This window comes from Homo sapiens, chromosome 5 (genome assembly GCF_000001405.40).
Source record: "Homo sapiens chromosome 5, GRCh38.p14 Primary Assembly".
Classification (NCBI taxonomy): domain Eukaryota; kingdom Metazoa; phylum Chordata; class Mammalia; order Primates; family Hominidae; genus Homo; species Homo sapiens.
Window position 1 is genome coordinate 16,936,897 of NC_000005.10, and position 12,598 is coordinate 16,949,494.

General features: G+C 43.5%; 1 pseudogene; it reads right to left on the minus strand.

Annotated features, from left to right (window-relative positions):
- On the minus strand, positions 4,947-5,055 carry RNU6-660P (RNA, U6 small nuclear 660, pseudogene; annotated as a pseudogene).

Below are 12,598 nucleotides of genomic sequence, written 5' to 3' on the forward strand. Positions count from 1 at the left end.
TAAAAATGTAACCCTTTTCTAGACCTCAAGGAAGCAGAGATGGCAGATGGCACTGAGATGGACGAATGATCAAACCCACCTGGCACTGAGTCCCGTTTCCCCTAGGGCAGTTCTTTTAACTTTATGCTGTGCGAGGGTCACCTGGGAACCTTGTTAGAACGCAGGCTGGAACAATCTGCTTTCCAGGTGCCCCTCAGGTGCTACCTGGTCCTGTGCTGAACGAAAGCTTGTAACAAGTAGAGAAATTAAGAGTAAACGTTTGTAGCAATTTAATAATGCCACGACATCCAAGCACATGATCAGTGGACTCTTTGAACCGAGTATAAACCAGTTTGGGTGTTGTCAGACTCACGTGGTGAGTCACACCTGGCGCCGCAGTGTATTGGTACCTGGCCGACTGGGAACAAAAATGGCTGGTTCTTCAGCACAAAAGATTTGAGATGCTCTCTCCAGGGAATTTGCCAACTGCTACTCAACCTTTAAAACTCAGCTCACAAAGTCACACCTTCCAGGGGAAGGAACCCTTCCCAAAGATGCTACTCCACTCACCCCACCCAAGCTCCCCGTAACCACTGGGCTAGATGCCCACTCTAGGATTTATTCCTAAGACTGTTGGGGAAGGACTGTGCTTTAAGATGAGTATCCCCAGGCTGTCTCACAGCATGAATGAATGAATGAAACATCCTTCTGTAATCCTTATGGGGAAAGTCAAGCATGTTTGTAACTTATCCCAGTCCAGTTCTTCACCATTAATATCATTGCTCCCACCTCACTTCCCTTTAGAAAGAGTCAAGGTGTAAATTAGTTAATGATATTGTGCAATGTTGTTCTGTTTCACAGGTTTACACGCTTAAGGCGCTGAGCCATTAAAGCTTGTGTCCAAGGTCGCAAGGAAAGTGAAGATGGAGTCAGGATAAATACCAACAATCCCAGTGCTTAGTCAAATGGGTCCTGCAACCACTGGTGTTCAGATACTGGAGCAGAACAATTACAGTCATTATGGTATTAATCTGCACACAACATCTCTGCCAGAGAAATTACCAGGGAGATTGTTGAAGTGAGTGTGTGGGTGTGACGTGGTTCCCAGCATCAGCCCAGCCACTGATACGTTGGGCAACCTCGCCATGTCATTTCAAAAGTCACTTTCCATATCGGCTCATCAGTTATAACAAATGTACCACACTAATGCAACATGTTAATAATAGGGGCAAGTGAGGGTGAGGGGCTGGGAGGGGTCTATGGACACTCTCTGTACTTTCTGGCCAATTTTTATGTAAGCCTAAAACTGTTTTTTTAAAGTCTACTAATCTTTTAAAGGTGATTTTCCTGCCAATTATGAAGATATCGTTAATAATTGCCCCCAATTTGACTCACGTAAAGAATGGTGAGCCAGATCCAATATATAAAGTTTAGATTTTACTGAATCATTTTATTTCTTCAAAAAGCTTACATCATCAGTTAACAGGGTAAGAAAGTTAAAAAAAAAAACTTACATCAATGTTTTATCAATGTTGATCCCTAGATCACCTTATCAGTTGCTAAAAAGAAAAAAAAACTGACTCCAAATCTCTGTGGCAAATTGATTTCCTAAGAATTTGCATTTTTTATTTCTTTACCTGTGGATTATATTGAAAGAATTTGCATTTTAATAAGCACCCCGATAACCAGTTCAGAGCTTGGGAATCGCCACTTTATCAGAATTCATCAGCTTTTCTATATATCCCCATATTCTCAAAAAGGTGTAAGATAAGCTGTGGCAGCGAAACTCTTACTTGCTGAACAGCAAAATGCATGTTCTAAATAAGATATCTAACCCTCAAGTATCTGGGGTTGAATCAGTTGTTAAAAAGCAGCGTGTTAAATTTATAAGGGCTTTGACAGGATTGGACAGAGACTGGGAAGCATTTTAAATCAATAGATTTCTAAGAATATCTAGTCTTATTACCATTTCTTAAAATTTGAGTGCTTCCTCTGAGAGAGTTGTGCTAACCACTGGACAAAGCAGTTTAGACCAAATCTATTAAACCCTGCCCTCTGAGAAGCGACAGAGGCACAAGAATGGTAATAATAGAAGGATGAGTGTGTTTCCATGAGGCAAAGGTCTGTCTCAACTCTCTGTCCTACCTGTCTTTCAAATAAACCAGGCTAACAGAGTATGACATTTTCAAAATAAAACACCCCCAAAAGCTCAAGTTAAGTTATCTTATTTAGTGGCATACATTAATCTACAATCAACAAAATTTTAATACTGATTGGATCATTTCCCCACTGAAAGAGAGAGTTGCATATGTATATTTGTGAGTTAAGTAATAACAATCTTCTGTTTTTGTTCTCCACCAACAGTTTGTTCGTTTTTAGTTGAAACGGGTTGTCTCATTTCCTTTGTGAATTCAAACTGAGTTCCTTTTGTTGTTGCTGCTGCTGCCATTCCTTGTCTTGATGTGTCTTGGGGCGTAGAGTCTTTTCCATTATCTTTTTTTTTTATTAAACACTCACCCCTTAATTGCCCCTGTTAGAATAATGGCTTAATTACTAGTTATAGAAAGGGAAAGTTCTCAAAGTTTCTTTCACACAAATTAGAAGTTAATAACTGACAATTCTAAAGTCCTTTCATGCTTAACTAAACAGCAGTCCATCCTTTGGGCTCACTTACCCTCTTGGATGTTTAAAACATCAAATGTTTTTACCTTCTCAAACAAAAGGGAATTTTTTTAATGTGATTTAAATTTTTACACAAGTGTTTCTTTTATTTCTCATACCTTAGCATTCAGAAATCCTCAAGGGAATTTTTTTCTGCTGAAACTGAAAACAATTGTAGGTGGTTTCAATAGAATAAATTTGGGAGAAAATACCTGAAATGTTTCACATTGTAATAGAAGTAAGTACAGAAGAATAAACATAGAACTAAAATGGGGAGAAGACACTGGAAGAACTCATTTCTGCCAGCGGTTGTATTTCTCTACAAGATGAGCTAGGGCAAGGATGTCATTCACCTCATTAGAGAGCATGTGATGGACAGTTAATTCTAACTAAATCCCCATCACTTCAAACTACAGCAAGAATGCCTCCTACAGCTGATAGCCTACAAAAATCATGGAGTGTTAGTTTCACAAATTAATCAGTTTTCATGTTTGGGGCTGGTCCTGTTGCGTATAATAAAGAAAAAGTACAAAAATCCCTGAAACCCTGAAAAGCTGCCTAATGATTAAGCCCGCTCGGAGCTATGTTTGACATCTCGCTTTCTCTCTTGATGTTTTTGTGTCTTTATGACCCTCTCTCTTCCATTACTCCAGGGTGGCTCAGAGACTGACTGCAAAGTTTATCATCTCTCTACCATTATTGTTAATCACAACATGTTTGCCACTTCCAAACCTTGTGTCCTCACTTATTCCTCTTGCTTGCATCTTCAGCCTTTCCCACTCAGTATCCAAGCCAATAAACAAGATCGTGTCGGCTCTATTTGAAAACAGCTGCTCGTTAACCCAATTGCTCTCTGAACTACTGGACCATCTCTCTTCAAATGCCCAACTTCTCACTGCTGTACTTCATCCTCCAAGCAATCAACCCTTAAACCCCTCATGATCTGATTTTTGTCCCCCACCCCACTCTCTTGAAAGTCTCTGTAACCTCAAATCATCAAATTCAACAGCCTGTTTTCCAATTTCACTCTCCTTGACATTCCCCTCTTTAAAAATTCTTTAACTTCTTAGCTTCAGGGCAAGCTTCATAGGTGTGCAACCCATATAGTTAATTGTATAGAGCCCTAAGCTCCTCACGCTTGGTTTAATATTCTGTTGTTCCTATCTTAAAATTATTTTACGTATTTATGTACTTATTTTTTTTGTTAGGCATCAGATAACAGCAAATACAACTTTTTCTTAATAGGATGAATGAAGAACTAGTATTTGATAGCACAACAGGGTGACTACAGCAACAATAATTTATTGCATATTTTTAATTAATTAAAAGGGTGGAATTGTAATGTTCATAACACAAAGAAATGATAAATTCTTGAGGCGATGAATACCCTAATCACAATTACAAATAATGCAATTATTACACATTGTATGCCTGTATCCACACATTACATGTACCCCATAAATATATACACTATGTATTGATAATAATTAAAAATGAAAATAATTGCCGGGCGTGGTGGCTCACACCTGTAATCCCAGCACTTTGGGAGGCCGAGTCGGGCGGATCACGAGGTCAGGAGATCGAGACCATCCTGGCTAACCCAGTGAAACCCCATCTCTACTAAAAATACAAAAAATTAGCCAGGCGCCTGTTGTCCCAGCTACTGAGGAGGCTGGGAGTCTTGAGACAGAGTCTCGCTCTGTTGCCCAGGCTGGAGTGCAGTGGCGCGATCTCAGCTCACTGCAAGCTCCGCCTCCCGGGTTCACGCCATTCTCCTGCCTCAGCCTCTGGAGTAGCTGGGACTACAGGCCCCTGCCACCACACCCAGCTAATTTTTTTGTATTTTTTTAGTAGAGACGGGATTTCACCATGTTAGCCACGATGGTCTCCATCTTCTGACCTGGTGATCTGCCCGCCTCCGCCTCCCAAAGTGCTGGGATTACAGGCGTAAGCCACCGCGCCCAGCCAAAAATAATTTATTTTATTTTATTTTCTTGAGACCGAGTTTCACTCTTGTCGCCCAAGCTGGAGTGCAATGGCGTGATCTCCGCTCACTGCAACCTCGGCTTCCTAGGTTCAAGTGATTCTCCTGCCTCAGACTGCTGAGCAGCTGGGACTACAGGTGCCCGCCACCATGCCCAGCTAATTTTTTGAATTTTTAGTAGAGACAGGGTTTCACCATGTTAGCCAGGCTGGTCTCAAGCTCCTGACCTCAGGTAATCCACCCGCCTCGACCTCCCAGAGTGCTGGGATTACAGGCGTGAGCCACCGTGACTGGCCTGAAAAGTTTTCAACATATATATTTTTTAAATATAAACTGCTTCATGAATTTGTATGTCATCCTTGAACAGGGGCCATGCTAATCTTCTCTCTGTCTTGCTTTAATTTTAGTATTTGTGCTGCCGAAGTAAGCACAAAAGAATTTTCATTTTAGACAGAGGGTACAGTGGCACAATCATAGCTCACTGCAGCCTTGAACTCCTGGCCTCAAGAGATCCTCCCACCTTGGCCTCCCAAAACACTGGGGTTACAGATGTGAGCCACTGCAATGGCCATTAATATTCTTTTTTTTTTTTTTTTTTTTTTTGTGACAGAGTCTCACTCTGTCACCCAGGCTGGAATGCAGCAGCATGATCTCCGCTCACTGCAACCACCTCCACCTCCTGGGTTCAAGCGATTCTCGAGCCTCAGCCTCCCAAGTAGCTAGGATTACAGGCTCGGGCCACTACGCCCAGCTAATTTTTGTATTTTTACTAGAGATGGGGTTTTACCATGTTGGCCAGGCTGGTCTCGAACTCCTGACCTCAAGTGATCCACTTGCCTCGGCCTCCCAAAGTGCTGGGATTACCGGCATGAGCCACTATGCCCGGCCAATATTCTTAATAATTGTTGAACAAACGGCTCTGCCTTTTCATTTTGCATAGGGTGCTACAAATCATGAAGCTGGTTATTTTTAGCTTTTGTGACCCTCTGTTTGTCTGGCTCTCCCATCTCTTTGACCACTTTCTTCCCCTTGTAGGCTCCCCTTCTCCTTCTCCCTCCAAAGTATGGTGGATCCCGAGCACATGTTCTTCCCCCTATTCTTATGTTCTCACCATTAATTCTCTGTACTTCACCTGCCATGTCTTCATAAATGATCCCCAAATCTATAATTCAAGCTATAAGAAGTCCCAGCCACAGGCCAGGTACCGTGGCTCATGCCTGTAATCCTAGCACTTTGGGAGACTGAGGCAGGTGGATTGCTTGAGCTTAGTAGTTTGAGACTAGCTTGGGCAACATAGAAAAACGCCATCTCTACTGCAACAAAAACAACAGCAACAAAATTAGCCAGGTGTGGGGGCGCATGCCTGTTAGTCCCAGCGACTTGGGAGGATCACTTGAGCCTGGGAGTTGGAGACTGCAGTGAGTGGAGATAGCACCACTGCATTCTAGCCTGTGCCACAGAGCCAGACCCTGTCTCAAAAAAAAAAAAAAAAAAAAAAAAAAAGCAGAAGAAGAAGAAGAAATCCCAACTACATTTCCAACCATTCGTTGAATTGTTCCTAGTGAGGTTCTTCTCACACTTCAAAACCTTCTTCACTCTCCCATCAACTTCTATCAACTTCCCTATATCTATTAATGTAATAGTCATAATTCAGTCACTGTAATGAGAGGGTATCTGTCTTTCAGAGCTGCCCTAAATCTTCTGATGATCTTACACACATGCAGGTCTATCCCCATCAAAGCCTCCCTTGCTTTACATATGTGACTTCGGTTTTATTAATCGATACCCTCATTTGTGGGTTTAATCTAGGAAACAAACTATGAGGAGACCAGGGAGACTCAGAGCATCAATTTCAGTGGTTCAGGTCATGGCAGAGGTAATGTTTTCATAATTTTTAAAATCAAATTATGTACATCTCCAGGGATCCCACCCACCCAAAGGGAAGCAATACAAAACAAAACAAAACAATATAAAATGGAGAGCAATACAAAACAACAAGAGGCTGGCCGCCCAAGAAAGTTGAGACTAAGATTCATGGGGTTCATCACAGGGCCAATTTTATGTAAACTCTTATTAGTGAGGCTTTGTTTTCCCCACCGAAAATTGCCTGATATCACCACTATTAATTTTGCTTCTGGAATGAGTTGAGAATATTTTTGGATTTTTTATTTCCAGAGCTTCCATCAAATGCAAGTGTGTGCTGCTGAAGTATTAGGAAAAATCAATTAAGTGCACAGAGTTGTTTATATAAGAATATCCGGACAAAATTGTTTAGAAAAGTTAAAAACCTGGCTGGGAGAGGTAGCTGATGCCTGTAATCCCAGCACTTTGGGAGGCCGGGACAGGCAGATCACCTGAGGGTCAGGAGTTGGAGACCAGCCTAGCCAACATAGTAAAACCCTGTCTCTACTAAAAATACCAAAAAAATTTGCTGGGCCTGGTGGCGCGCCTGTAATCCCAGCTACCCGGGAGGCTGAGGCAGGAGAATCGCTTGAACCCAGGAGGCGCGGTTACAGTGAGCCGAGATCGTGCCGTTGCACTCTAGCTTGGGCAACAAGTGAAAACTCCGTCAGAAAGGAAGGAAGGAAGGAAGGAAGGAAGGAAGGAAGGAAGGAAGGAAGGAAGGAAGGAAGGAAGGAAGGAAGGAAGGAAGGAAGGAAGGAAGGAAGGAAGGAAGGAAGGAAGGAAGGAAGGAAGGAAGGAAGGAGAGAAAGAAAGAAAGAAACAAAGAAACAAAGAGAAAGAAAGAGAAAGAAAGTTGGTTAAAAACCTGGACACAACCTAAAAGCCTCTCAGAAGGAGATAGGTTAAGCAAACTATGGTAAATGTGCATAGTGACATACTCTTTGTGTTAGTTGTCTGTTTTGTATAACAAGCCACCTAAAACTAAGTGGCTGAAGACAATGACTTGTTATTTCTTGATGGGGCTTGACCTCTGTGCTGTTATCTGGGCTCTCTCGGGTGACTGCAGTCAGTTAGCTGCTCAGCTGTGTCTTGTGATCTAGGATGGCCTCCCGCACAGGACAGGAGCTCATGGGGATGGCTTGGATAGCTGGTTCACTCTCTCCACGTGGCCTTTACACTACGACAGTCTCAGGAATGCATTAGGATGACAGCAAAAGCTGCAAGACCTTGTGCAGTTGCTTCTGCCATATTTAATTGGTCGAAGCCTGACATAAAGCCAGCCCAGACCCCAGACCTCAGACCCCAGACTCTTTTTTTGTTGTTGTTTTTTGAGACAGGTTCTTACCCTGTCACCCAGGCTGGAGTGCAGTGGCATGATCTCAGCTTACTGCAACCTCCTCCTTCCGAGTTCAAGAGATTCTCCTGCCTTAGCCCACCATGCCTGGCTAATTTGTTTTACATTTTTAGTAAAGACAGCGTTGCACCATGTTGGCCAGGCTGGTCTCGAACTCCAGACTCAAGCAATCTGCCTGCCTTGGCCTTCCAAAGTGCTAAGATTTCAGGCGTGAGCCACGGAGCTTGGCCCAGATCCCAGACTGTCTTGATGGAAGGAATTGCAAGGAATCTGTGGCCACTGGTGGGAGAGGGAAGGGTAAAATTCACATAACTCCAAATTTAGCATTCTCAAGTGTACAATTCAGTGGCATTTGGTACATTCACAGTGTTGTACGAGCATCACCACTCTCTAGTTCCAGAATATTTTCATCCCTCCAAAACTAAACCAATACTCATTACTTCTCTGATTCCTGTCAACCCCTAGCCTCCATTAACCACTCATTTGTTTTCTGTCTTTGTGGATTTGCCTATTCTGGATATTTCATGTGAATGGAATCATGCAATAGGTGACCTTTTAGACTGGCTTCTTTCATTCAGCATAGTGTTTGCAAGGTTCATCCATGTTGTGAATTCATTCCTTTTTATCACCTGAGTAATATTCCATTATATCAAGCTTGTCCAACCTATGACTTTGAATGCCACCCAACAAAAATTTGTAAACTTTCCTAAAACATTATGATTTCTTTTTTGCAATTTTAAAAAACTCATTAGCTATATCATTAGTGTGTTTTATGTATGGCCCAAGACAATTTTTCTTCCATTGCAGCCCAGGGAAGCCAAAAGATTGGACACCCTTGCATTATATGAATATACCTCATTTTTACAATCCATTCATCCGTTGATGGACATTTGGGTTGTTTTCACATTGGGGCTACTGTGAATAGTGCTACTACGAACATTCATGTACCTGTTTTCAGTTATGTGGGGAATATACCTAGGAGTGGAATTGCTGAATCACATGGTAATTCTATGTTTAACTTTTTGAAGAACTGCCAGACTGTTTTCCATTGTGGCCATTTTTAATTCAATATACTATCAAACAGCAAAAATGATTAATATATCGGTATTAATGTGGAGGTATGAATATGTAAAAGAAAAGTTACAGAATGACATGTTTCATTGGTACCTTATAGAAATGTTTAAAAAACAGTGACTTCAACCAGCCTGGCCAACATGGTGAAACCCCGTCTCTACTTTTTTTTTTTGTATTTGTAAAAATACAAAAATTAGGCCAGTCACACTGGCTCACACCTGTAATCCCAGCACTCTGGGAGGCCAAGGTGGGTGAATAACCTGAGGTCAGAGGTCAAAACCACCCTGGTCAACATGGCAAAACCCCATCTCTACTAAAAATAACAAAAATTAGCTGGGCGTGGTGGCGGGTGCCTGTAATCCCAGCTACTCGGGAGGCTGAGGCGGGAGAATCACTTGAACCTGGGAGGTGGAGGTTGCAGTGAGCTGAGATCGCACCACTGCCCTCCAGCCTGGGCAACAGAGTGAGACTCTGTCTCAAAATAAAAATAAAAATACAAAAATTATCCAGGTGTGGTGGTGCATGCCTGTAATCCCAGCTTCTCGGGAGGCTGAGGCAGGAGAATCGCTTGAACCTGGGAGGTGGAGGTTGTAGTGAGCCACTGCACTCCAGCCTGGGCAACAGAGCAAGACTCTGTCTTAAAAAAAAAAACAACACAAAACAAAACAAAAACAGTGACTTAAAGCAAATATGCTTATTTTTCTCTCATGAAGGGTGGAGTGCTGGGCATGGTGGCTCATACCTGTAAATCCCAGTACTTTGGGAGGCCAAGGTAGGCAGATCACCTGAGCCCAGGAGTTCAAGACCAGCCTGGGCAACACAGTGAGACCTCGTCTCTATTTATATAAATTAAAAATTAATAATGGATATGGTTTGGCTCTGTGTCCCCACCCAAATCTCGTGTTGAATTGTGACCTCTAGTGCTGGAGGAGGGGCCTGGTGGGAGGTGATTAGATGATGGGGGTGGACTTCCCCCTTTGCTGTTCTTGTGATGGGGAGTGACTTCTCATAAGATCTGGTTGTTTAAAAGTGTGGAGGACTTCTGTCTTCACTCTCTCTCTCCTGCTGGTCATGTGAAGATGTAGTTGCTTCCCCTTCACCTTTCACCATGATTGTAAGTTTCCTGAGGCCTCCCCAGCCATGCCTCCTGTACAACCTGTGGAACTGTGAGTCAAATAAACCTCTTTTTTTCATAAATTACCCAGTTGCAGGTAGCTCTTTATAACAGTATGAGAATGGACTAATACAATAATTTTTTTAAAAGGCTGGAGGACAGGGATGTTCCTTAAGGTACTCAGGACACCAGCTCCTTGCAGTTCTCTCACCAGTATTCTGGTGTGGCCCTCAGCCTCACCCATCAGGAAGGCAACCTTGCTTCCTCGGCAGCAGGGCATGGCAGGAATAAGGAAGGAGGAAAAATGAACCTGCCTGCTCTTTTAGGGACAATTTCAAAACCTCTTTCTTTTGTAAATTGCCCAGTCTCAATATGTCTTCATCAACAGTGTGAAAATGGACTAATATAGGGCCCTAATCCATTCTGACTGCTATCCTTAGAAGAGGAGACTTGGACATACAGAGAAACACCAGGGATGCTCACTCACAGAGGAAAGACCACATGAGGATGCAGTGAGAAGGCAGCTGTCTGCAAGCTAAGGAGAGAGGCTGCAGGAGAAATCAACCCTGCTGAGACCTTGATCTTGGACTTCCAGCCTCCAGCATTGTGAGAAAATGAATTTCTGTTGTTTAACCCACCCAGTCTGTGTTATTTTGTTATGACATCCCTAGCAAACTCATACAGGGAGTCAGAAGAAAATTCCCAAAGAAAGCTGTACTTGAACCAGGGCTCCATGGACGAGTCAGAGTCCACCAAATGGCGAAGACAGGAAAGCACATTCTAGGCACATGGCATATGGAAGGACCCAGAGGTATGAGAAGCATTTTTAGCAAAGGGTACCAAGTTCAGAGCGCTTAGGGCAGAGAGTGTGTGGGTGGAGTCATAAAAGACAAACTGGAAAGTTTGCTTTAAACTCCCATTCAACTGGTTTAAAATTAGTAGTATGCTGGTTAACATTGGAGAATTGACTCTTTGGAGAGGTTAGCTGTGATCTGCAACACTTACCAGTTTCTCTGGTGTAAATACTCTCACCATGGCTGATTTTTGTTTGTTTTTTTATTTTTATTATTTTTTTTGAGACAGAGTCTCTCTCTGTCATCCAGGCTGGAGTGCCATGGTGCAATCTCAGCTCACTGCAACCTCTGCCTCCCAGGTTCAAGCAATTCTCCTGCCTCAGCCTCCCGAGTAGCTGGGACTACAGGCGCCCGCCACCACACCCGGCTAATTTTTTTTTTTGTATTTTTAGTAGAGACAGGGTTTCGCCGTGTTAGCCAGGATGGTCTCGATCTCCTGACCTCATGATCCACCCACCTCGGCCTCCCAAAGCGCTGGGATTATAGGCATGAGCCACCGCGCCTGGCCTACATCTGCTATTTCGTAGGTTACTGTACTTGCCCTTGGCAGGTTTAGACTCAACAAATGAAGTAATGCATAACCAATTTTTCATCTAGCCGAAGAGATCACACAAATGCATGCACAGACAAAAGGAGCTTGAGGTGATTGCTGAAGAAGATAAGAGATTTTGGGCCTCAGAGGAGAAGGCATCTCCATGGTGGCAGTGGTAGTTTCAACCATCACAGGGCGGGAGAGATGAACCTGAGCCTTCAGGAAGAAAAGGAAGGGTAATTTTGGGCATTCAGAAGAAGATAAAAAGGTGTAGAGCTCCAGAGAGGTAGGGAGAGAGAAGACTGTGAGATGGAGAGGGGTTTGAATGAGGGAGTTTTCTGTTTCTTTTTTTAATTTTATTTTTGAGACAGGATCTGGCTCTGTTGCCCAGGCTCTAGTGCAGCGGCATAGTCTTGGTTCACTGCAACTTCCACCCCCTGGCTCAAGCAATCCTCCTGTCTTGGACTCCTGAGTAGCTGGGACTACAGGTTTGCACCACCATACCTGGCTAATTTTTTTTTCTTTTTTTTGTAGCTGTGGGGGTTTCACCATGTAGCCTAGGTTGGTTTTTGTTTTGTTTTGGGTTTTTTTTGAGATGGATTCTCATTCTGTCGCCCAGGCTGGAGTACAGTGGCATGATCTCGGCTCAGTGCAACCTCTGCCTCCCGGGTTCAAGCAATTCTCCTGCCTCAGCCTTTTTAGTAGAGATGGTGTTTTGCCATGTTGGTCAGGCTGGTCTCGAACTCTTGACCTCAGGTGATCCAGCAGCCTCGGCCTCCCAGAGTGCTGGGATTACAGGCGTGAGCCACTGCGCCCCACCTACCAGATCCTTTTGAGGCTGATAAAGCACTTTGGGACCTGCCTCCTGCCTCTGTCTCCTCCAATCCCCACCCCATAACCACATCGGCCTCCCTGTGCCCAGAGCACAGCAGCCATGCAGCTTGATCCTATCTCAGGGCCTTTGCACTTGTGTTTCTATCACCTGCAGTGTTTCCTCACCCTCCACTTACCCCCACTCACTCTGCATGACTGCCTTGTCTCTTCACTGAGGACTCAGCTCACATGTTATCCCATCAGCCTATCTAATTCTGCACTGACACATCAGTCCTACCTACCCCCACCCCACCTGATGTTCCTCACA